Raw genomic sequence first — 27,784 nt, forward strand, 5'->3', positions numbered from 1 at the left:
GCTCCAGGAGGTGCTAAGGGTACTGGTTCTGGGGCCACATTTTGACAAACACTGCCTCAAGCTATTTTTACCATCAGTGAATATCTTGCACTACATTTCACGAAGAAACTTCACAGTCATTGCTTTATTTAGGCAGAAAGGATGCAGCAGCCCTCTTTTCCAAATAATTTGTCCTGAGATGCATCTTTTTGGCAATCATTCTATCGAGCTCCTAATCAGGCACGAATAGAATAACCATTTGTAATACTGGTGATGGAGGCACCCTTGCAAATTTCAGGGGAAGTTTTGGTGCACAGCACTTTTCACTGTCTTCCGACAGCAATTTCAGGCTCCTGCTGCCTGCCCCGTGACCATCTCTCGTTAAACCTCTGTGAGTAGCCCTGCTGCAACCATGAATGATACTCTGAGGGCTTCACACAGGCTGGGTTTATTGAGCTGCATTATAGGAGACTATATCTCAGATGGCCCCAGTGCAGCCAAAACAATCTGTCACTTTTAATTCTTCCTGTCACCTCATTAAGTATATGGCAACATTGACAATAAAACACATTTTCAAACAAACAACACACGCACCACCCCAATTGCAACATTTCCTCCTCTTATATTCAGATGTTGTTATAAATATCCAGTCATTGAAAGATTCATTGAACAAACATATGTGCCAGGGTACTGTATATAACTGACAGAGGCACAGAATAGTCTCCATGGACACATAAAGCAATTAAAAATAACTGTGCTTCCAAGCGGGCTACTGTAATACAAAGGTCATGCCCATAAATATGAACAGGGTGGCAGTAATGTCTCTATCCAAATATACCCCCAAACACATAACTACAACAGTTCAGAACTCAAAGGTTAATGTAAAAAAAAGAAATCCCTGAAATTATTCCATATTCATCTTATGCCTTTTACTTCTTGTGGTCTTTTCATCAAAGGTTAATATATGTGAATACAGTGGGAAAATAGTATCAAGGCCAAATGTGTGTCATCAGGAACTATTTTACTCAGTGAAAAATATTTACCCTTGTACATACGATAAAATGAAGGAGCTGTAGTACATTTTTTGTGAAAGAAAAAAAATGTCTATTGCTTCCTCCCCCTTTCTTTACTAGGTTGCTTGTTTTTACATTAACTGCACTGAAGTTTGAATTTTACTCAAAGCTCTAGAGAGACTGTTCTGAGAGCCGGGATAGTTTTTGCAGTAACACACTGAGTGTGATAATAAGGTTTATGCATGGTTGTAAAGAATGTGCTGACAGATGGAAAAGAAGCCACCTCAGTCTGCACAGTATTCATTTTTATATATATTCAAAAAATTCATACAACACCTGACACTCATTCAAACAGCAGTTCTTCCTCCTGCTGTCTCCTGGAAACAGAAATATTTTAGAGTATATAGAAAAAAATCCAACCCCCAGTGGACTGATTCACTAAAATTTCAAGTTCTGCGCACATCAGAGTAACACAGGCTCCTGCATTACCATTCAAGGTGTCATGTGCGATGAAAAACTTATTCCCACCAAATATGGATCTTTACGTAGTATGTGCCTTAGATAGTGAGCAAGTAAATTCAGCAAGGAAAAAGATGTGAACAGAATGTCTCCTACAAAGCAGAGGCATTTCCCACCCTTCCTCTGAAAAGCAAAAGGAGAGCTTCTTTGCCAAAGATTTGCTTTCATCAAGGGATATTAAAATATGAGAGCAGATTATATTCGAGCATTTAGGTCATCTGTGCCTCTGTGATGTTGTGACATTTGAGAGCACATTGATTAAAAGAAAAGAGCAGTCTGAGGTAAATTCTTTGCTTTTAATAATAATGAAACAATGACTAACCCACGTAGCACCTTGATTCTCTAAGGCATCAGCTTTCTAGAGAAAAAAAAGCAACTCCCAAATTCTTCTATCTCCTAGAACTTATTACTATTTTCTTAGAAAAGCCTAATTCTTGATTTAAAAAGAATAAAAGTTAAAAAAAAAACAGTTATTTTCCATTCATCCTCAACCTTTGGACTGAATGCATCTGTCATATGGTTTGGTTGTGTTCCCATGCAAATCTTAATCTTGAGTTGTAGCTCCCATATTTCCCACATGTTATAAGAGGGGGCTGATGGAAGGTAATTAAATTATGGAGTGGGTTTTTCCCATGCTGTTCTCACGATAATGAATAAGTCTCATGAGAGCTGAGGGTATTATAAAGCACAGTTACCCTACACAAGCTTGCTCTTGCCTGCCTCCATGTAAAATGTGACTTTGCTCCTCCTTTGCCTTCTGCCATGATTGTGAGGCCTCCCCAGCCATGTGGAACTGGGAGTCAATTAAACCTCTTTCCTTATAAATTACCTAGTCTCAGCATGTCTTTATTAGCAGTGTGAAGACTAATACAATCCGTATTTGTTTTCTAGGGCTGCTGTGCCAAAGCACCACAAATTGAATGACATACACAACAGAATTTATTATCTCACAGCTCTGGAGGCCAGAATTTCCAAAATCAAGGTGTTGGCAGAGTTTGTTTCTTCTGAGGGCTGTGAAGGAAGGATCTGTTCTAGGCTTCTCTCCTTAGCTTTTAGATGGCCATCTTCTCCCTGTGCCTCTTCATATCATCTTCTCTCTTGTGTGTCTCTGTGAAGTATTGGACTTCAATGTGTGATTTTTTGACAGGATACAATTCAATCCATAACACATCTTGTACTCAAAAAAGGAAAAAAAAAAAACAAGCAATATCAACAAAACAAAACTTGGATCCTCCCACTTGTGCCATCTCTTACCCTGCTGCCTTCCCAAACAGAGATGACTCATACATCCCCAGAGCAGATTCCAAAGACAAGAGTAATTTTTTTCATTATTGCTAAGATGCTGCTAAATTATTGCATCCATTAACTTTCATGTCTCACAAATTCCAAAGAACCAGCTATACGTTTCCTACTTTTATGATGTGTTCTCATATACTAACCTCAAAATTAATCCCGACATTTGACCATTACTTGAACAGTTGGTCATTATTCTCTCATCAAATTCTGGCATGACTGTTGGTCACTTCTGTAGCCATGTGAATTAGCCACCCAGCAATCTACCCAATTTGCTATTGACCTTTTCAACTCAAGTGTGCTCAGCTACAGTCTACTGCTGCTGCCTAATCATATATATACTCTATCTGGCCTGTATCTTGTATTTATGTATCAGCTCTAAAAGTTTAAATTTGAATACTCATTCTTTGACTTTTATCTGCTTACGTCAGTCTTCTCCTTTCTCTACTTCCTTTATAGCATCAGTTACCAAATTATGTTATTACAAGGAGCAATAGTGTTTTAGCATGTTCATAGGAGAGACACAGAGGAAGATTTTAGTACGTTTTCACACTGCTGTAACTACCTGAGACTGGGTAATTTATGAAGAAAAGAGGTGTAATTGACTCAGTGCTGTAGGCTTAACAGGAAGCATGACTGTGAGGCCTCAGGAAACTTACAGTCGTGGCAGAAGGCAAAGGGGAAGCAGGCATGTCTTACCATGGCAGAGCATAAGAGAGAGCAAGGGGGGAAGTGCCGTACACTTTCAAACAGCCAGGTCTCACGAGAAACTCATTCACTATCATGAGAACAGCAAGGAGGAAGTCTGCCCCCATGATTGAATCACTTCCCACCAGGCCCCTGTGGGAATTATAATTCAAGATGAGATTTTGGTGGGGACACAGAGTCCAACCATATTAAAGATAAAATGGTGTGCAGGGATAATGAAAGTTGAAATGTTTCTTTACTGAAGAATTACAAACACTAACATTTATTCTGAATAAGATTTTGTAATGGTTTTAACTAAATTTATGTGAACAATTAAAAAAGCCTGCTGATCTACTGAACACCAGTTTGGTAAATAGTTATAACTATTCTTTTATCTATAACACCTAATACCCACTCTTCATTTTATTTACCCACTTAGCATTCTTTGATATACCCCTTACTGTACTCTTTTGCTAAATGTTCTTTCCACCTACTTTTATTTTCAAATCCACTCTGCAACTCTATGTCCTGTCTATTCCCATGCATATATTTATGCTTTCCAACTTTCAGTAAGCCTTCAGAACTGCAAATAAGAATATCCATGCTAATTCTTCTTCTAATTTCATGAACATGTCATATATTATTATTTCCTAGATTACCTACTCATCCACCTAACTCTCCTCTACGTCACAAGAAAAAGCAACACTAATTGCCATTGTGTAGGGAAACGCTCAACTTCTGACTCTAATGTAGAACAGCATGCATGGCCACATATCCTCTTATATTCCTTCCATTTTCAGTGAAAAGCAATTCCTTTCTGAAGGCAAATTAGTCCCAGTCTCTCTCTATTTCTCCTACCATCTCAGGGACTGTTCTCCATCTTTTGTCCCTCTTCTGTGTCTTCAGCCTCTTCTCTACCAATTCTTTCTCCAGGATTATTAACCAATTCCAAGGGTTCTCACTTTAATTTTGCTTTTCTTTTACTCAACTTCCTTGAATTTTGGACTTGTCTTCCTTTTCAACAAAGTAATTTACTCTCATAATTTCAATGTTCTCACTTACAATAACTTTCTTCAATTTTCTGAAAATATGGGCACTTCCATCAGCATTACAGTATAGCTTTTTCTTTTTTTTTTTTTTTTTTTAAGACTCTTATTTATGGCATTCATTTGGCACAGAGAAAGGAAGAAAGTGTGAACTTTGGATCCTCACACTAGAGTTTGGGTTTCAATTTCAGTTTTTCAGCTTCTTAGCATTATGGCCATTGGCAGTTTTTCTTAGTCTTCTTGAGCTCCAGTTTTTTCTTCTGCAAAGGGGCAAGGATAATTTTATCTAAGCAGGATTTTTGGAGGAATAAATTAGGCATTTTATAAAAAGCTTCTAAAAGTTAGTCAATAAGTTTTAACTGTCTGATATTGTTTGTCTCTGTGTCCGCACCCAAATCTCACCTTGAATTATAATCCCCATAAACCCCATGTGTTGAGGGAGGCACCTGTTGGGAGGTGACTGGATCACAGGGCTGGTTTCTCACCTGCTGTTCTCATGATAGTGAGTGATTTCTTACAAGAGCCGATGTTTTTTAAAGTGTTTGGCAATTTCCTTCATACCCTTGCTGCCATGTAGGATGTGCCTTTGCTTTTCCTTTATCTTCTGTCATGATTGTAAGTTTCCTGAGGTCTCCCAGCAATGGAGAACTGTGAGTCAATTAGACCTCTTTCCTTTGTAAATTACCTAGTCTCGGGTATTTCTTCATAGCAGTGTGAGAATGGACTAATACACTGTCCTACCCATTGACTTCACTCTTGCTTCATCATTTGACACTGCTGTTTACTCTCTCATTGAAATTCTCCCTCCCTGTTCATGTAGCACCACTGTCTATTGTGCCTCTTCTTAGTGTTGTGGCTGTTTCCTACCTTGTCATCATTCCTTCACACTTAATATTGATGTCTGTTAGTTTTTCCTCTCTAAATTTTCCTTCCTTCTTAATATAAATTTTCTCTAAGTTCCAACTACCATTTCTAAAGATTCATTTTTTTAAAAATTCTGCAACCTGGGAAATTTGTGTAATGCCAGACGGGTATGTCTAATTATTCACTGCACATCTCAACATGAATTCATTTTTTTCAATGAAGTTAATGAATTTAAGTTTAAATTAAATTCAAACTTAAAACGTGTAATAATGAATTTATTGTCTGTCTTCACTATAAAATTGTCACCTTGTATCCCTTGTCTCAATAAGTGAGACCACTGTTGGCATACATGAGGCACTTTTAGATGCTATACTATCACAGCAATAATTCAATTGAATTACCTAATTAAAATGACATTATTTTTTTCATTTTTTTTTTCAAGCCTTTCAGAATACAGCAAGAAGAAAGCTTCTGTTTTGGACTTAGTATGTCTTTGGTCCTTTTAATGCACTTCGAAAGCTCCTATTTTAACAAATAGAGATCAGTTTTAGAACCTTTAACGTGGTAAAATTTAAAAATGTTGACTTTGTCAATTTTGTCTTTAAATTCTATTTATGGTAAATAATCCATTGTTTTAAAAAGTGAACCAGCTTCCTCAAGAAATAGGATTAGCTAAACATCAGTGAACAATAAACCAATAAAAGTTTTCCAAGTGTGAGTTTTAAAATGCAAATATAAAAATACAGTTTTTAAAAAACAACTCACGTACTTTAAGATTTTAAATAATCATAATCAGCTGTCTTCCTAAATGAATACCCTTTATTTCTTTCTCTTGCCTGATTGCCCTGACCAGAACTTCCAATAGTATACTGAGTATGAGTGGTGAGAGAGGGCGTCCTTGTCTTGTGCCAGTTTTCAAAGGGAATGCTTCCAGCTTTTGCCCATTAAGTAAAATATTGGCTGTGGGTTTGTCATATATGGCTCTTATTATTTTGAGGTATGTTCCTTCAATACCTAGTTTATTGAAAGTTTTTAACATGAAGGAATGTTAAATTTTATCATAAGCCTTTTCTGCATCTATTGAGATAATCATGTGGTTTTTGTCTTTAGTTCTGTTTATGTGGTGAATTACACTTATCGATTTATGTATGTTGAACTAACCTTGCATCCCAGGGATGAAGACGACTTGACTGTGGTGGATAAGCTCTTTGATGTGCTATTTGCAGTATTTGATTTGGTTTGCCAGTATTTTATTGAGGATTTTTGCACGATGTTCATCAGAGATATTGGCCTGAAGTTTTCTTTTGTTTTACTGTATCTCTGTCAGATACTGGTATCAGGATGAGGCTGGCCTTATAAAATGAGTTGAGGAAGAGTCCCTTCTTTTCAGTTTTTTTTTTTTTTTTTTTTTTTTTTTTTTGGAATAGTTTCAGTAGAAATGGTACCAGCTCTTCTTTGTACCTCTGGTAGAATTCAGCTGTAAATCTGTCTAGTCCTGGGCTTTTTTTGGTTAGTAAGCTATTTATTACTGCCTCAATTTTATAACTCTTTATTGGTCTATTCAGGAATTCCATTTTCTCCCTGGTTCAGTCCTGAAAGAGTGTATGTGTGCAGGAATTTATCCATTTCTTCTAGATTTTCTAGTTTATGTGCATAGAGGTGTTTGTAGTATTTTCTAATGGTTATTTAGAAATAACCATTATAGCACCACTGTGGGGTCAGTGGTGCTATAATCTTATTTCTGATGGTGTCTATTTGATTTTTCTCTGTTTTCTTCTTCATTAGTCTAGATATCAGTCTATCTTGTTAATTGTTTCAAAAAAACAGCTCCTGGATTCGTTGAATTTTTTTTTTTTTTTTTTTTGAGACAGAATCTTGCTCTGTCTCCCAGGCTGGAGTGCAGCGGCACAATCTTGGCTCACTGCAACCTCCGCCTCCTGGGTTCAAGCAATTCTTCTGCTTTAGCCTCCCGAGTAGCTGGGATTATAGGCGCATGCCACCACGCTTGGCTAATTTTTGTATTTTTAGTGGAGATGGGGTTTCGCCATGTTGGTCAGGCTGTTCTTGAACTCCTGACCTCATCCGCCCACCTCGACCTCCCAAAGTGCTGGGATTACAGGCATGAGCCACCATGCCTGGCCCATTTGTTGATTTTTAAAGGGTTTTTTTGTGACTCTATTCCTTCAGTTCTGCTCTGATCTTGGGGTTATTTCTTGTCTCCTGGTAGTTTTCGGGATTGTTTGCTCTTTGTTCTCTAGTTCTTTTAGTTGTGATGTTAAATTGTTGACTTGAGATCTTTCTAGCTTTTTGATGTGGGCATTTAATGCTATAATTTTCCCTTTTAACACTGCTTTAGCTGCATTCCAGAGATTCTGGTATGTTGTCTCTTTGTTCTCATTTGTTTCAAATAACTTCTTGATTTCTGTCTTAATTTCATTGTTTATCCAGGAATCATTCAGGAGCAGGTTGTTCAATTTTCATGTAGTTGTGTGGTTTTGAGTGAGTTTCTTAATCTTGAGTTCTAATTTGATTGTGCTGTGACCTGAGAGACTGTCATGATTTCAGTTCATTTGCATTTGCTGAAGGAGGAGTGTTTTATTTCCAATTATGTGATTAATTTTGTAGTAAGTGCCATGAGGTGATGAGAAGAATGTATATTCTGTTGTTTTGGGGTGGAGAGTTCTGTAGAGTAATTAAAACAGCATGGTATGGGTAAAAAAACAAACACATAGACCAATAAAACAAGAAATAACTCGGAAATAAAAATACACACCTACAATCATCTGATCTTTGACAAACCTGACAAAATGCAGCAATGAGGAAAGCAATCCCTATTTAACAAATGATTCTGAGAGAACTGGCTAGCCATTATGCAGAAAATTGAAACTGGACCCCTTCCTTACATTCTATGCAAAATTCAACTCAAGATGGATTAAAGACTTAAATGTAAAACTCAAAACTGTAAAAACACTAGAGAAAATCTAGGCAATACTATTCAGGACATGGGCGTGGGTAAAAACTTCATGACAAAAATGCCAAAAGCAATTGCAACAAAAGCAAAAATTGACAAATGGGATCGAATTCTACTAAAGAACTTCCACACAACAAAGGAAACTATTATCAGAGTGAACAGACAATCTGCAAAATGGGAGAAAAATTTTGCAATCTATCCATCTGACAAAGGTCTAATATCCAGCGTCTATAAGGAACTTACACAAATTTACAATAATAAGACAAACAACTTCATTAAAAGGTAGGCAAAAGATATGGACAGACACTTCTCAAAAGAAGACATTCATGTGGCCAAGAAACATGAAAAAAAGCTCAACATCACTGATCACTAGAGAAACACAAATCAAAACTACAATGAGATACCATCTCATACCAATCAGAATGATGATTATTAAAAAGTCAAGAAACAACAGATGCTGGCAAGGTTGCAGAGAAAAAGAAATGCTTTCACACTGTTGGTGGGAGTGTAAATAAGTTCAACCACTGTGGAAGACAGTGTGGTGATGACTGAAAGATCTAGAAGCAGAAATACCATTCTACCCAGCAATCCCATTACTGGGTGTATACCTAATGGAATATAAATCATTCTATTATAAAGATACATGCACGCCTTTGGGAGGTCGAGGTGGGTGGATCATGAGTTCAGGAGATCAAGACCATCCTGGCTAACACAGTGAAACCCTGTCTCTACTAAAAATACAAAAAATTAGCCAGGTGTGGTGGTGGGCGCCTGTAGTCCCAGCTACTTGGGAGGCTGAGACAGGAGAATGGTGTGAACCTGGGAGGCGAGCTTGCAGTGAGCCGAGATCGCACCACTGCGCTCCAGCCTGGGCGACAGAGGGAGACTCTGTCCCCCCACCACCCCCCCCCCCAAAAAAAAAAAGATACGTGCACGCGTATGTTCATTGCAGCACTATTCACAATAGCAAAGACATAGAATCAACCCAAATGCCCATCAATGATAGAGTGGATAAAGAAAATATGGTATATTTACACCATGAAATACTACACAGACATAAAAAGGAATGAGATCATGTCCTTTGTAGGACATAGATTAGCTGGAAGCCATTATCCTCAGCAAACTAATGCAGGAACAGAAAACCAAACACCTAATGTTCTCATAAGTGGGAGCTCAGTGATGAGCACACAGGGACACAAGGTCGGGACAATACACACTGGGGCCTGTCGAGGGTGGGGTTGGGGGAGGGAGAACATCAGGAAGAATAGCTAATGGATGCTGGGCTTAACACCAAGGTGATGGATTGATCTGTGCAGCAGACCACCATAGCACACTTCTAGCTATGCAATAAAACTGCACATCCTGCACATATTCCCTGGAACTTAAAAGTTGAAGAAAACAACAACAAATCATCATCATCATCATCATCGTCATTATCATGATCTAAAATATTAGATTAAAGGAAAAAAGTAATGAAAGTTTGTTTTACTTATCAAGAGATAGTGATTAGATACAAACTTTTTTAAAATAAAGTTTTAACTTTACAGAGAAATTGTAAAGATAGTACAGAGAGTTTCCATAGGTCCTGAATAATTTCATCTATTATTAACATCTTTTGTAAGTTGATCACCTGGCTAACATGGCGTTTGTTTGTGTCATGTTTCTCCACTGTAAAGTTTTCTTCTTCTCATTGAACAATATACTCTCTTGAAGGAAGTCACTACGTTCTGTCCACAGTCAAGATGTAGGGCCTTATGCAAGCAGATTATCCACTTTCTTGCAAGCAGATTATCCGTATAATGTATGCAATTTATTATTAAAACATAGGTTATTGGGAAATCCCAGGATGGAATGTGGAATGTGACAAATCAATCTCACTGTATTACAAATGTGGGAAGCAACATCACCACAAAGGATGATGGATAACACGCTGATTTAACTAGAAACGAGTGGAATTTGTAAAATTACAGGCAAAAAACAGTGCATATTAAGTATGGGAATTGAGTGGAAAATGTTGTTTCGTACAGAACAATTAGTTTAAAATTATTGTACTGCTCTACATGTATACAAGAATTGAACAGTTAAGTAAGTGGATGGTGGGTAATGGGGGCCAGGTGGGAAGTCAGGATTTACCCATAAGCAAAGGGAGGAGGCTAGAATAATCCATATTTTAATAGATAAGAGTTGTAGACATCAGTATGAACTCATGTGTAACTTTATATACATATGTATGGTTACATAGAAGAAGTATTTATAGATGTGTATATACACAGGTTAGTATACATGTATATGTTTTCTTCATCAACCTGGAAGTAAAAACATCCCAGTATGTTAACGAGTATATCTGGAGCTCAGGTCTTGGTTCTGAGTACCATTCTTAAATAAAAGGAGCCAAGGCTCCTTTAAGAAATGGCTGGTCTAGGCCTGGGGCTTGGAGCATCTTGTATTGCTAATGGTAAGGAAATGATGAGGAAAAAAAAAACCAAAAAAACAAAATTCTGCTCTGACGGAACCCTGTCAAAGGATACAGAGACACTCAAAGAGCTTCTAATAGCCAAACCTGGAATAATGGGAACTAATAAAGTTAAATAATATTAGATTATAAAATAAATATGTATGATCCCACATGGGTATCAATTATTGAATATGTAAATGAGGGAGAAGAAACAAGTATCCCATGCAGAAAAAAATTAAAATGTAATTTTATAAAAGATAAGACCACTAATTTTTTTTCAAATATTTTAAGGTTGATTCAGGGAAAAATACAGAATAAAAGCATGATTTTCAAATTACAAACTAGCATTAAAAAATAGTTAAAAAATAGATCATGGTCAAAAAAAAAAAAAAGAACGCAAGTTGAGTATCCCTTATCTGAAGTGTTTGGGATTAGAAGTGTTTCGGGCCAGGCGCGATGGGTCACGTCTGTAATCCCAGCACTTTGGGAGGCCAAGGCTGGTGGATCAGGAGGTCGGGAGATTGAGACCATCCTGGCTAACACGGTGAAACCCTGTCTCTATTAAGAATACAGAAAATTAGCCGGGCGTGGTGGTGGGCGCCTGTAGTCCCAGCTACTCTGGAGGCTGAGGCAGGAGAATGACATGAACCTAGGAGGCAGAGCTTGCAGTGAGCCGAGATCGCGCCACTGCAATCCAGCCTGGGCGGCAGCGCGAGACTCCATCTCAAAACAAAACAAAGACAAAACAAAAAAAAAAAGATTCAGATTTTGGATTTTTTTTGGAGTTTGGAGTATTTGCATCATACCTGGGTTAGCATCCCAAACCTAAAAATCTGAAATCCAAAATATTCCAATGAGCATTTCCTTTGACTGTAACATTAGCGCTCCAAAAGTTTTGGATTTTTGAGCATTTTGGATATCACATTTTTGGATTTGAGATGTTCAACCTTCACTTATCAGGGAAATTAAATAAAAATGGAAGACTAAAGATCAAATGCAACATTTATTTTTTTCATATAAGAAATGTTAATTCATTCTTTCTGAGGTTATGCTAAGACCAATTCATGTTGAAAAATTTTCCAGGCTATTCCAAATTGTATTGAATTTTGTGAGCTGCTGATACTACAGAAAAAATTTTTAGAAGTATCTATGTTACATTATGAAACAAAAGGAATACAACATCAAATGTAGAGAACATTTTTGTAAAGATTATTTAAATTCTTTATACTTTTTAGAATATCAATGAAATGAATAATTTTCCAGAAGGAATTTTTTTGTTAAAATTAATACTTTATGATGAAGCTTAAAATAATTTCATAAATATCAAATAAATAGAAAATAATATCAACGAAATAATTATCAAAAGATCATTCTCACCAAATAATTTAGGTTGTGTTTTGAAACTGATGTGAGTTTAACTAGTTCATATTATAAAAATTGATGGAAAGCTTCCAAATTTCAATTATGAATAAAGCATAATCATGCGCCAAAACATAAGAAAAATGGAACATTTAAAAAAAAGAGATTAAACATCTTTAGAACCACAGCTGCAAAATATTAGCAAATCAGATGTAGCTCCTTACTAAATGATAGCGCACTCTGACCAAATAGGTTTTTATTCCAGGAATGCACTAACAATTCAATATTAGGAAACCAAATAATAATTCATCACAACAATCGATCAAAGGAGAAAAAAAAATTTTATCTTGAGAGATACTGAAAAAGTACTTTAAACTAATTCAACATCAATTATTGATAAAAAGTGTTAGTCAATTAGGAATTGGAGATCAAGAATAAATCCCCAAAATGATGAAGGCTAGCTATTTCAAACTGACAGCAAACATTATGTCTAATTGTAAAACATTAGAATCATTGTCCCTGAAGTCAGGAATAAGGGAACGATCGCTCTTATTGTTTTCTCAGTTAATTTATTTTTAAGTAAGTATTATTGATGTATAAACAGTAAAATAGTCTTTTAAGTATACAGTTTGATGAGTTTAGACAAATGTAGTTATATAATTATCAGAATAAAAATGGAATTTTTTTTCAGTTCATCATATTTTCTCTTGCCCTTTTGCCTCTCTGTCAGTTTCCAGGCCTTGATGACGACTCTTCTGATAACTTTCCCTGTATATTTAGTATATTTATCTTTTTTATTAGAATGTCCTGTCATATAGTATATAGCTTCTGTGCAATATATGATGCTTTCAAAATTCATCCATGTTGTTGCATGTATCACTAGTTTATTATTTTTTATTGCTGGGTACTATTTCCTTATATGGATATATTACATGTTTATTCATTTATAAGATACATTTTTGCATTATTCCTGATATTTAGTTAGTATGAATAAAATTGGTATAAACATTTGTGTACATGTCTTTGTGTGAAGATAGGTTTTTGGTTCTCTTTGCTGAATATACAAAAATAGTGTCTTAGACCATTTTGTATTGCTATAACAGAATACCACAGACTGGGTAACTTATAAAGAAAAGAAATTTATAGCTCTGAAGGCTGGGAAGTCCAAGGTAGAGGGGCCCACATCTGGCGAGGGCCTTGCTGCTGTGTCTTCCTAGGGGTAAAGGTGGGAAGGCAAGAGAGCAGGAGAAAGTAAGAGAGAAAGGTGGCCAAACTTGTTCCTTTTATTGAGAACCCACTCCCATGAGAACTAATCTACTCCTGCTATAATCCCATTAATCCATTGATGAGGGCAGGCTCCTCATGACCTAATCACCTCTTAAAGGTCCCAACTCTTAACACTGTTGCATTGGGAATTAAGTTTCCAGTACATGAACTTTGAGGGACATACTTAAAACAGAGCAAATAGAATTACTAGATTATATAATCAGTATATATATAAACTTTATAAATATTTGTCAAACTATTTTCTAGAGAGGTATACTATTTTGCATTTCACAAGATAAGTATGAAAAGTTCTAGATTTCCATATCACCAGCATTTAATATTGTCAGTCTTTTTAATTTTAGTCATTTTAGCAGATGATAGTGACATCTCATTGTTTTTTATTTGTATTTCTACAATAACTAGATATTTAAACATATTTTATGTGCATATTTGCCTTCTGTGATTTTCTGCATAGTCAATTATGATATTCATGAATAAAGATTTTTTAACTCTATCTTAAAATCTTGAAATCAGGTAATGAGAATTCTCTTTTTATTCTCTTTTAATTTCTATCTAAATTTTGGAATCATCTCAATTTCTAAAAGTAAAACAAATACCTTATAATTTGGATTGAGATTGTCTTGAATCTATGCATCAATTTGGCAGGGATTGACATTTTTTTGTATTAGTCAGGGTCCTTCAGAGGGACGGAACTAATAGGATCTATGTATATATGAAAGGGAGTTTAGTAATGAGAATTGACTCACGTGATCACAAGGTGAAGTCTCGCAATAGGCCATCTGAAGGGTGAGAAGGAAGGAAGCCAGTAGTGGCTCAGTCTGAGTCCAAAAGCCTCAAAGGTAGGGAAGCTGACAGTGCAGTCTTTGGTCTGTAGCCAAAAGCCTGAGAGCCCCCAGCAAACCACTGGTGTAAGGCCGAGTCCAAAGGAGGAAGAATCTGGAGTCTGATGTTCAAGGACTGGAAGCATCCACAACAGGAGAAAGATGAAAGCTGGAAGACTCAGCAAGCCAGGTTATCCCACCTTCCACCTGGTTTGTTCTAGCCATGCTGGCAGCCAGTTGAATGGTGCCCACCCACACTGAGGATGGGTCTTTTTCTCCCAGTCCACTTACTCAAATTTCAATTGCCTCTGGCAACACCCTCACAGGCACACCCAGAAATACATTACCAATTATCTGGGCATCCTTCAATCCACTCAAGTTGACACCTAATATTAACCATCACATTAATATTTAGTCCTCTGACCCATGAGTACAGTATTTTTTTTTTCTTTTTTTTGAGAGGGAGTCTCGCTCTTTTGCCCATGCTGGAGTGAAGTGGTGCGATCTCAGCACCTCCGCCCGCCGGGTTCAGGCGATTCTTCTGCCTCAGCCGCCCAAGTAGCTGGGATTACAGGCACATGGCACCATGCCCGGCTAATTTTTGGAATACAGTATTTTTTAAATTTACTTAGGTCTTTTATATTTCTCAGTAATGTTTTATGGTTTTCAGTGTACAGACTGCACATATTTTGTTAAATTTTCTAATGTTTTCGATGCTTTTATAGGAAGTATTTTTAAAAATTTTAGAATTTCCAATTGAACACGGCTAGAAATAGTTGCTTTTGTTTCTAATAACCTTGTATTCCGTTATCTTGCTAAAGTCACTCATTTCCTCATGAGCCTTTTTTATTAGCTATGTTGTGATTTTTCTCTGTAGATGATTGTTATCTGTGAATGCACATAGTTTTTAAACATTTTTCTTATGTTAGTATTTTCTTTCTTTGTCCTGCCTTACAGTCTTTGCCAGAACTTCTGGTACAATGTTAAATAAATGTAGTGAGGGCAGACATACTTGCATTGTCCCTGATCTTAGGGAGGAATCAGTCTTTCAGCATTTATATGTTAGATGTGGTTTTTTAATAGAAGTGCTTTTCAGTGCTAAATTCTCCATCATTAATTGTGGAATTAAATATATTTCCTTGTATTTCTATAGCAAATATATTTTTGCATTATCATATTTTCCTGATAAACTTATCCCATTATTTCAATGTAATACAATATTTCCTTTTCTCAAGTCTAGTTTGTCTGATAGTATTATAGCCTCTTCAGTTTTCTTTCCATTAGAGTTGTGTGGCATATTTGCTATTGATTTTAACTAATCTATGTCTTATATTTGTCATTGATCTCATTGTTGGTAGCATATATTATTTTTTTATATGATTTTAAAATCTATGCCTTTTAATTTAGCATTTATATAATTTGCATTTAATGTAATTGATGTATATGCTTACATTTAAATATACTATCTTGCAATTTTTTTCTATTTATACTATCTGGTTTTTGTTTCTTATTTTTACTTTCTATTTTTAATTTATTACTTATAATTATTTTATATTAGTTACCATAATGTTTACTATATAGATATATATATCTTTATCTTGTCACAGTCTGTTGCCTGATAATATTATGTTGCTTTATGTGAAGTATAACAAACTTAGAAAAGTTCATTGACTTCCTTCTACACTCTTTGCTATTTTTGGTCAAATATTTTAATTCTACATGTAAGTACCACAATACCTTGGTACTATCGTACCTTCAGACAGTCACATCATTTAAAGATATTAAACATAAAGAATAACATATTTTATATTTACTCACATTTTTATTCCTTCCCAGGTATTTTATTTCTTTTATAGATCCATGTTCCTGTCTGGTATCATTATTCTTCTGCCTGAGAACGTCCTTTATTATTTCTGATGGTGCAGGTCTAGAGTGATAATTTCTTTTACCATGTGTATTCCTTAATATGTCTTTACTTCATCTTTATTTTTAAATTTTTCTTGATAAACTTTATTTTTAAGACAGTTTTAGGTTTACAGAAAAACTGAGTGGATAGTACAGAAATTTTCTATACATTTATCTCCCCCCCCACACACACGGTTTCCTCTATTATTAATATGTATATTTGCATAGTATGTTTGTTACAGTTCGTAAGCCAATACTGGTATACTATTGTTCACAGTTTATTCAGATTTCCTTCATTTTTACCTAATATCATTTTCTTATTCCAGGATCCCATTGAGGATGCCACATTATGTTTCATTGCCATGTCTCCATAGACTCTTCTTGGTTGTGATGGTTTCTCACGCTTTTCTTGGTTTTGAAGACGTTGACAATTTTCTTCCATTGGGATTTGCTTGATGCTTTTCTCATGATTACACTGGAACTGTGACTTTTTAGAAGGAAGATCATAGAGGTAAAGTGTCATTTTTATTGCATATAAAGCTTATTATTAACATAACTTCTTACCACCGTTGAAGATTTTCAGGTTCCCTTACTGTAATTCTTTTGTTTTTTCAAATTGTAATCTTTGGAAGGAAAAGTCACTGCGTACAGTCTACACTTAAGGAGTGGAAGTCATGTTCCATCTCCTTTAAAGTGGAATCTCTACATAATTCACTTGTTATTCTTCTTCATTGGAGACGTGTCTCTTTTTCCTCATTTATTAATTTATTTAATAATTTATTTATAATATGAATACATTGTTATTTATTTTATACTTTTGCATATAATCCAATACCATTTTAATTTGTTGCTCAAATTGTTTCAGATTTGGCCATTGGCAACTCTTTCAAATGGCTACTGTGCACATATGACATATCACCATCCAGTTTTTAAAACCTTTTTTACTTTCTACCATTAACATGATGCTCCAAGCTTATCTTGTACATTTCCTGCTGCAGTCCAAGAATCAGCTGTTTATCAAAAACCTCTGGTTTATTTTATTGGAGAACAGTATTAGAAAGTAATATCTAGGTGCTAGATGTGGTCATTGCTGCTGAGGTGTAATTTCTATTTTGCTCCTTTTAGCTGACAGAGCAAGGAAACTGTCAAACTAATTCTAAAATGGTTGCACTATTTTACATTCCTATCGCCAATGACTAAGAGTTTCTGTTGTGCTGCATCCTCAAATATCAGCATTTGATGTCAGATGTTTGGATTTTAGCCATTTTAATAGGTTTGTGCTATCTCATTGTTGTACTAATTTGCAATTTTAAAATACAAAAGGTTTTAAACATTTTTTTAATATCCTTATCTGTACATCTCCTTTGGTGAAGTGTCTGTTCAGATATTTTGCCTGTTTTTAAATTGGGTTGTTTGTTTTATTATTGTGGAAAATTCACCGTTCTTTGTATATTTTGAAAATAAGGCCCCTATCAAATATGCATTTTACCATAATTTTATCCCAGTCTATGGCTTGTCTTTTCATTCTCTTTACATTGATATTTACAGAGAAGAATGTTTAAATTTTTAATAATAAAGTTCAACTTATCAATTTTTTCTATCATGGAGCATACTTTTGGTTGTATATAAAAACTATTAGGAAACACAAGTTTACCCACATTTTATAATATTTTTCTAGAAGTTTTAGGAGTTTGCATTTTACATTTAGATCTAAGACCAATTTTGCCTTCATTTTTATAAAAGGTACAAATTATTAAATTCTTGTATTTTTTTGGTTATGAATATATAGCACTATTTGTTAAAAGACTGTCTTTTCTACATTGTATTGCCTTTGTTCCATTATCAAAGACAAGGTGATTATAGGTAGGTAGGTCTAATTCTGGGATCTTTATTTTGTTCCCTTGATCTATGTGTCTATTATTTTGTCAGTATCATGCTCTTCTTATCACTGTAGCTGAAGCTGATGAGTCTGAAGATAATAAGTCTGAAGTTGAGTAGTAATATCAATCCTCTATTTTGTTCTTTTTCTTCACAATTGTGTTGGTTACTCCAGGTCTTTTATCTTATCATACAAACTTTAGATTCAGTTGATCAATATTCATGAAATAGTTTGCTGAAATGTTGACTGGGTTGTGCTGAATCTATAGATCAATTCAGAAGAACGGACATCTGAACAATGTTCCATGAACATGGTATATTTTTCTACTAATTTACATCATTTTCAAATTTATTTTTTCAGTTTTTTTAGTTTTCCATATATACATCCTGTACATATTTTGTCATATATGTGCCTAAATGTTTCATTTTTTGATATTGATGTAAATAGTATTATGTTTTAATTTTAAATTCAAATTGCTCATTGCTGGCATAAAAGAAGTATTTTTCATATTTACCTTGTTTCCTATGACTTTGCTACAATTAATTCAGAGTTCCATTTTCTTGTTGATTCATTAGGATGTTCTACATAAATAATCCGGTCATCCTTTTAAAAAGACAGTTTTATTTTTTCATTGATTATCTGTGTACCTTTATGACCATTCCTTGTCTTACTGTACTAGGTATGACGTCCAGTACAATATTTAATAAGACTGGGGAGAGGGGACATTCATTCTTTGTTCTTAATCTTAAAAGAAAAATATACAGGTACTGGCCATTAAGTATGATGCTATCTGCAGTTATTTTGTAGATGTTCTTTATCAAGGTGAGGAAGTTCACCTCTAGTTTTCTGAGTTTTTTTTTTTTTTTTTTTTGCCATAAATGTATATTGGATTGTGCCCAGTGCATTTTCTGCATCAATTGATATGATTATGTGATTTTTGTTCTTTAGCCTATTGATATGATGGATTACATAGATTGCTTTTCAAATGTAGAGCTAGCTTTGCATAAATGGAATAAATGCCACTTGCTTATTTTGTATAATTCTTTTTGTACATTGTTGGATTCAACTTGCTAATGTACTGTTGAAGATATTTTATTTAGTTCCATAAGAGATATTGGCAAGTAGTTTTCCTTTGTTTAGAATGTCTTAATCTGGTTTTAGAATTGTATAATGCTGGCATCATAGAATTAGTTAGGAAATGTCTATTTCTGTTATCTAAAAGAGATGGTAAAGAACTGGTATTGTTTCTTAAATGTTTGGTAGAATTCACCAGTGAAAGCATCTTGGTCTGGTGCTGTCTTTAAAAAATTATTAATTACTTTTTCAATTTATTTAATAATTATAAACCTATTCCGGTTATCTGTTTCTCCTTTTGTGAATTTTTTGGAGTTTGTGTCTTTCACAGAATTGGTCTGTTTTATCTAAGTTATTTAATCAGTGGGCCTAGAGTTACTCATAATATTCCTTTGTTATCCTCTTAATGTCCATTGGATCTTTAGTGATGATGCATTTTTTTTCTTTACATTATTAGTAATTTGTGCCTTCTTCCTTTTATTTTTTTGGTTAGCATAGCCAGAAATTTGTCAAATTGATTGATCTTTTTGAAAACCAGCATTTGGGTTTGCAGACTTTGCGGATTTTCTGATTTTAATTTCATTGATTTCTATTCTAATTTTCACTATGTATTTTCATCTGTTTTTATTAGGATTAAATTGCTCTGATTCCTTTCTTATAATCTTTTATGTTATGAATATTATATAATTCATAATTATAGTACATAACTAATAATTGTTATAAAATGAATTATAATAACATATTGTAATATTTCATAATATATGCAGTCAATGCAATAAATTTTTTTCTATTGGTGCAGAAGGATATGCACTGCGGTGCAGAGTTTCATAGCACCGTTTTTGCTATATTGCACACATTTTAATAAGTTGTCTTTTTATTTCACATAGTTAAGATTATTTTAATATTTCCATTGTTTTTTTTTTGTTTAAATTTGACCCAGGTGTTATTTAGAATAGTGTTATTTAAGCTTCATATATTTTGGAATTTTCAAGCTTTCTGTTATTAAAATTTAATTAATTTGATTAAATCTAATTAAATCTAATTAATTTAATTCCATTCTAATCTGAGATTGTACTTTGCATTATTTCTATTCTTTTAAATATGGTATGGTAATTTTACAGTCCAGAATGTTGTCCATCTTGTTGAATATTCCATTTGGTTTGAGAAGAATGAGTATTCCACTGTTGTTGATTGAAGTATTCTACAAATGTCAGCTAGATGCAGTTGATAAATGGTGGTGTTTATTTCAACCATGCCCTTCCCAATTTTCTACTGGTTGTATTTATCAGATGCTGAAAGAGGGGTATTGAAGTCTCTAACTATAATCATAGATTTGTCTATTTCTCATTGCTTTTTTCTCAGTTTTGTCTCTTCAATGATTTGTTTTCAGATGTGGAAAAGTGGTTCTTTTATTACTATGTAATGCCTCTCTTGTAGCTCTGATAATTTTTCTTGGTCTCAATTCTGCTTATCTGAAGTTAATATAACTACCTCCACTTTCTTTTGATTAGTGTTAGCATGATGCATATTTCCACATGTCTTTACTTTTAACCTGTCTTGCTTTTTATTTAAAGTAGGTTTCTTGTAGACTACTTATAGTTGAACCTTGTTTTCTTTTTTTTAATTCAGTCTGATAGACTGTCTCCTAATTGTTATATTTAGACCCCTCACATTTAATGTGAATACTGACATATTTTGATTAGTGTCTATTGTGTTTTGAATTTTGTATGTGAATTGCACTTACCCTTTACTTTTTAAAACAGTATTTTACCTTCTCTGGCTTTAACTGAGCCAGACTATTATTATTTTTTCTCTTAGTATATCAATCGTGCTTCTTTTCGAAGTATTTTAGTGGCTGTCCTAGAATTTATGATATACATTTGCAACTAACCTAAGTCTACTTTCAAATAACACTATACTGGCTGGGCGCGGTAGCTCATGCCTGTAATCGCAGCACTTTGGAAGCCAAGGTGGGTGTTTTATTTGAGGTCAGGAGTTCGAGGCCAGCCTGGCCAACCTGTCTCTACTAAAAATACAAAAATTAGCCAGGTGTGGTGGCGCATGGTTGTAATCCCAGCTACTTGGGGGGCTGAGGCAGGAGGATCGCTTGAACCCAGGAGGTGGAGGTTGCAGTGAGCCGAGATCACGCCACTGCTCTTCAGTATGGGTGACAGAGTGAGATGCCATCTCAAACAAATAAACAAACAAACCCACTATACTGCTTCAGGGTAGTGCAATTACCTTGTAAAAGAGTATCTCCAATTTCTCCTTTCTTTTGTTCCTTATAAAATTGCTGTAATTCATTTTACCTAACCATATTTTATCATCACTAAATACATTGTTATTCTTATTTCTTTGAACAAACAAGTATCTATGCAATCAAGTAATAATTAAAACAATAAAAGATTTTATTTTATCTGCATTTATTCATTCACCAGTTTCTTTATGTGGATGTTAATTTCTTACCTATTTTAATTTCTTTTCCTTTGAAGATTTTCTTTTATTAACAACATTTTACAAGACAGTTCTTCTGACAGATTTCTTCATATTTTGTTTGTCTGAGGAACTCTTTATTTCTACTTCACTTTTGAAGAATAATTTCACTAATTATAGAATTCTAGCTTGGTGGTTTTGTTTTCATTTCTATACTTTAAATATTTCGCTCCACTGTCGTCTTGTTTGCATCGTTTCTGATAAGAGGGCTACCGCAATTCTTATCCTTTCACCTCTACAGCTAAGGCATTTATCCACACCTTTGGCTGCTTTCAAGATTTTATCTTTGATTTTCTGCAGGTTGAACAAGATTTGCCAAGGTGTAGGGCTTTTTGTTATTGTTGTCTATTTTTTTCCCCCACTTATAGTACTCAGTGCTTTTTGAGTTTCCTATATGTATTGTTTGGTGTGCATCATTAATCTGCAAAAGTTCTCAGCCATCTTTAATTCAAATAATTATTCTGTTCCTTTCTCTCTTTCATCTCCTCTTCTCATTTTAATTATGCAGATGTAACAGTTTTTATAATTGTCCCACAGTCCTTGGGTATTCTGGATTTTTTAAATTCTTTTTTTAGTTTCTAATTTAGTTAGGAAGTTTTCGTTCGCATATCTTCAAGCTTATCAATTCATTCCTCAGCTATCTCTAGTCTTCTGATGAGCCCATTCAAAGTAGCCTTCACTTCTGTCAAAATATCCTTTAGTTCTATCATTCATTTTTGATATTTTTATCAAGTTTTCATCTCTCTGCTTACCACCTATACTTGCATGTTTTGTACTTTTTTTCTTTTTGAGACGGAGTCTCTGTCTGTCACCCAGGCTGGCGGGCAGTGACACGATCTCAGCTCACTGCAAGCTCTGCCTCCTGGGTTCACGCCACTCTCCTGCCTCAGCCTCCTGAGTGAGTAGCTGGGACTATAGGCGCCCACCACCATGCCTGGCTAATTTTTTGTATTTTTAGTAGAGACGGGTTTCACCGTGTTAGCCAGGATGGTCTCGATCTCCTGACCTCGTGGTCTGCCCACCTTGGCCTCCCAAAGTGCTGGGATTGCAGGTGTGAACCACCACACCCGGCTATACTTTTTTAACTAATGAATTTAAGATATTCATCATGGTTGTTTTAAATTTTCTAGGTGATATTTTGAAAGTCTGTGACTCTAACTAATCCTTGTCCTGATACTCATGTTGTCTCCTCAGAGATTGGGGTTTTTCCTTGCTTTAGCTAGTCTTGTACTTTTAGTTGAACTCTGGACATGATGTATTGCATAATAAGAACTGAGATAAATAGACTTTTAGTGTGAGATTTTATGTTAATATTGCTAGGGGCTAGGCTATGTTTAATATTTACAGTATATTTACATGTAAAAAGCTTCCATTTTCTTCATTGTCCCTATTTATCTTTATTTTTCCTGTTGTCTTTGGATTTCCCTAAGAATGCCTAAATCAAGTCCGTGTCTTGCAGTGTTTTCCATCATAATAATCTACTGTTACTACACTGAAGTTATGTTGATGTGGTGGTAAGGACTGAGGGAAGGAAAGCGTTCTATAGTCTTATAACTGCACTCCAGACTGGGCGACAGAGCGAGCCTCCGTCTCAAAAAGAAAACTACTTGTTGGACTAAATTTCTGAGTTGCGACATTCAGAAGAGTTTCTTAGCCTTCCCTCCATCCTCTTAGTTTGAGTCAGGAAAGCTAGAGAAGGATGGAGTTGACTAATTGCCTTTCCTCCAGGTAGGCAAGGCCCTGGTAAAACTAGGTTTTCTTGAAGAGCAAGCCTTTGTTATGATGAATGTTCTGAGTGTATTTGAAATGGCTACATTTTTCTCACCCTAACTGAAACTGGAGGGAATGTTTTTTGGATCCTGAGAACCTGATTAATTTTCTGGAGGCAAAGTCCATTAAAATGTGCATCGAGGGCAGGGATCTTAGGCTGTAGCTTCTCATCTTCACTGTAGGCCACAGCCTTCAGCAGTTATTCACAATTGCCTTTTAAGTGTTCCCACCACATTCTGGCTCCAGTAGCTTCTGTTATAGGTTAGGTGGTTTGGGGCTGTGATTTTCTATATTCTCCTGTCTCTCCAGTTTTTGTTATGGCACTTTACTCCGTCACCTTAATCCTCTGATGGCTCTAAGAAAAGTTGTTGATTTTTAGTTTGTTCAGCTTTTTTCTTATTGTAAGAACAAAAGTGATGACTTCCAAGCTCTCTGGTTGGAGTTAAAACCAGAAATCTTGCCTTTGTTTTTTAAGAACATTTTCACCAGATATAAAATTCCAGGTTGGCAGTTTTTTCTCTCAGTACTTGAAAGCTATTGCTTAACTATCCTCGTGCTTGGATTGTTTCTCAAGAGAAATATGCTCTTTCTTATCTTAGAACATATAAGAAGGAATAAAACAAGTGAGGGTTGGAGAAGAGGAAGAAAAGGCTTCAAAAACACAGGAAACATTTATTAAAAGATGAATTACCACATCTGGAACAACAGATAGGGAATAATACGCCATTCTGAGGAGGGATACTCTGGCAGACCAGCTGCTAAGCTTGCGATGCTTTTGTCACCCTAGGTAAATTTTAGATCCACAGAACTGAGAAAGAAGTGAGATTTCAACACTCCCATGACTTCGAAGATGAGCAGTGGGAATCGCTTTTATTTGGTGAGGTAGAACACTTTTTCAAAAACGTGACAGGAAATGTATAATAAAAAGTATTCAGCTTTAGAAGCAGTCTTAATAAACCAAGCATTCAGGCCCCAAGTTCAAGAACATGGCATGAGAAATGGCAGAATGTCAGGAGTATTAAAAACTCTTGTCTTCCCTAAGATTGGAAATATAGCATCTCATAAATCAAACATAAACCAAATAAGTATTAAGCACAGTTGAAACTTGGGAAGTAAGTACAGAATGTCAAAAATGTAGAATCCTATTTTTCTTTTATTCTTTAGATGGTATTTCAATGATTTACCTCTAAATGAATTTCCTCAATTTTAGGGTTCAGTCTCTGAGCTTTAAAACAAACACATAGTATAGCTATTTACTTATTAGCAATGTCAAAGTGTAGAACTTGTTGTTTAAGTCTCACCATAATTGGCCATTTTATCAAAGAGTAAAACGCACATAGCTGAATGCACTCATAATATGATTAGTTTGTTATAACATTTTGCTCGATGGGAAGGAAACTTTCACATAGTCCCTACTTTGGCCTCTAAAAACTTAAGCACTAATAACACAGAAAACTGACACGGAAAACCTAAATATTTTGGAAGTATAATAAATACATTACACAAGTGTGTAATCTAAAAGCAGAATATTATATGTCTTATTGCATGAAGGTACCAAAGTGAAAAATAAGTAGCAGAATATTGCATACAAGACAAGGGGAAAATATATGTGAGTGCTTAGATAGGGGTATGAAAATCATGATTCTATTTATGGGCAGTTTGATTTATTCATTTATTGTCAAAGTTTTTGACAATCTAGTGTATACTACATACATTTCACAAGAATAGCAAGTCAAGATGTATTGCTTTTGACATTCTCGAGGAATAGACTGGTTAACAGGCAATTAAATACACCAGGCCATGTTCTTTAATAGGAATACTTATTGCTTATTTTGAAGGGTCATAAGACACTTTGTATAAATGAGGCATGAAAAAAGATCATCTAATTAAGAATAGATGTATAAGTGATGAATAAGAGTATCTTGATCTGTTTTCTGTTGACATCACAGAATACCCAAGAATAGATAATTTATAAAGAAAAGAAGTTTACTTTACTTATAGTTTTGGAGCTGTGAAATCCAAGAGCATGGTGGCAGCTTTTGGTGAGGGCTTTTGTACCACATTATAATGAGGCAGAATAGCAGAAAAGGAAGTGGCAGTTGCAAAAGGGGTGAAACAGAGGGGTGACCTTACTTTATAATAAGCTACTTTTTCAGTAGCTAATCTAGTCTCATGAGAGCAAGAGCAAGGTCTCAGTCACTCCCATGAGAATAAGCCAAGTTCTGCCAGAGCAGCATTAATTTCTCTGACTTCTTAAAGGCCCAGTCTCCCAACACTTCCACATTTGGAACTGAATTTCCAACCCATGAATTCTGGGGCAATCACTCAAACTTCAGCAAACAGTAAGCTCACCCCCCCATCCCATTATTAGCATATTGAAGGTAGATGGTTTTAGAAAGACTGTCCAGTGTTTCCTAAAGTCCAGTTGATGGCGGTGGCTGCTGCCATCACGATGGCTGCAGCAGGGAGGAGGGGCTGGGGCTGCACACTTCATGGAGCCAGTGGGAGCCCCGCCCTTTCTGAGTTGGAGCCTGAGCTCCCCCAGTGCCACTGCAGCTGCTTTCCTAGGGACAAGACCTGGGCATCTCTGCAGTGTGCACCCTCGGGGGCCCCATGAAGGACCTTTCTCTTTCCCCAACCCTGCAGGCTCAGGGGTGTCTGCTGCCGCTGACTGGCCTCTCTCTGCTCCAGGTGACTGCTTTGATCTCTCAGAGGGGTTTGGGGACTGGCCCCAGGGGCTATGAAAGGCAATGGGAGGCAGATTGATTCCTAGATGCAGGGGGGTGGGTCCCCAGTAAGGCCCCACCTTCAGGTTAAGGAGGGTCTGAAGGCTGGGGGACGGGCTGACAGTCCTGCAGGCAACAGTAGGGACTCATGATTCCTCTTCCTGGCTGCCCATGGCCACCCATGGACCAATTGGCACACACTTCCTCCTCTCTGAGGTCCATAAAAGCCCTGGGCTCAGCCAGAGCAGGACAGAGGACAGCCAGAGGACAAACAGGGCAGAGAGACCACCTTCTCTGCTGAGAGCTGCAGACAAGACCTGCTGGCAGAGAGGAGCCACTCTCTCCAGGCCTCCTGTCCGCTGAGAGCTACAGACCTCAGGATGACCAGTTGCAGAAGGTAGCTACCCTCTTGAGGGCCTCCTCTCTGCTGAGAATGGAACACTTGATGGATGACCTGCCTACAGAGAGAGCTACCCACTGTGGGTCTCCTCTGAGCTGTTGTAACACTCAATAAAGCTCATCTTCATCTTGTTCATCCTTCGCTTGTCTGCCTACCTCATTCTCCCTGGATGCAAGACAAGAACTCAGACAAAGGTGCTGTGGCCACAGAGGTTCCAGCCAGAAAACACCCCAAAGATACTGTAACGCAGTCATTATCAGACCACCTTCTCCAATATGGTCATGTCCTGTACCAACTGTGCCATTACTTAATGATGTTCTTTATGTTAATTTACTCTTTTGTTCAAATAACTTTTTATCAAAAGGGAAGGTTTCTATTACTAGCATAAAGACAGTTACATAGAAAGTAATCATATAAAAGATGCGATAAAAACACAATTATTTAGATATGGTTGTCTGAAAAAGTTGGAGCACAGTAAGTTATGTAAGCATTCAAGATTGCTGAAGATGGGTAGTACTAAACTGAGAATTTCTCTTTGACAGAAGGACAGAAAGAAAATTGAAATTATATTTTTTATTTCATTTGAGGTTTATGTGCCACAAACTAAATCTATTCCCTATGCCTGCTAAACCCATATGCCACATATGTCTTCTACACTTTGGGAAAGGCTGGGCTGTATGCAACAAATAGGAGTAAAGTGAATACTAGAGCTAAAAGCAGGAGAAGGTGTGAGAAAGTTCTTTTTTCTTTCAATAAAAATGTATTATCTTATTGAAAAGAAAGTTAGACAGCCTCAGTGTATCAGGATCTATCTAACAGTATTGTGATAATTATTAATTTTCATGTTAAGTTATAACCCTTCCACTATTAGATCCCATATTGTCATATTAATATTAAAGTTCAGCTCCATGTAAATCCCAGACACTAGTTCTACCTTCTAAAGAGGTTTACATATGAGAAATACTCTGTTGAGCTTAACTGAGTTTATGTGACATTCCAGTGGATATACATTTACCAGGATCTCTTTCAATAAAGAATGAATTAATAAAAGTGATGTTATGGGAGTAAACTGGAATCTCTAATTTATAACCAGTGAGTCTCAATCACAGACTTGTAGTCTTTAATTGTTTTTAGTAACACATCAGTTGGGATTCACCTACCAAATGACTAAAAAGAAGTGTATCCCCGCTGGGAGATGTGTGGGAGAACTGCAGTTTCCATGGCACAAAGCAAGTCTATTTTT

General features: G+C 35.7%; 1 long non-coding RNA gene across 2 annotated transcripts in view; it reads left to right on the top strand.

Annotated features, from left to right (window-relative positions):
* The window catches only part of LOC105374524 (uncharacterized), a 507,306-nt gene that overhangs the window by 171,857 nt on the left and 307,665 nt on the right, over window positions 1-27,784 (top strand). The window contains exon 8 of one of the 2 annotated variants that reach the window (XR_007058434.1): window positions 16,526-17,799. This is a non-coding gene — a long non-coding RNA (uncharacterized LOC105374524). Of the gene's footprint in view, window positions 1-16,525; window positions 17,800-27,784 lie in introns of those variants that run through there. The other variant, XR_007058437.1, reaches the window with a different exon arrangement.

The sequence above is a fragment of the Homo sapiens genome, chromosome 4 (genome assembly GCF_000001405.40).
Source record: "Homo sapiens chromosome 4, GRCh38.p14 Primary Assembly".
Lineage (NCBI taxonomy): Eukaryota > Metazoa > Chordata > Mammalia > Primates > Hominidae > Homo > Homo sapiens.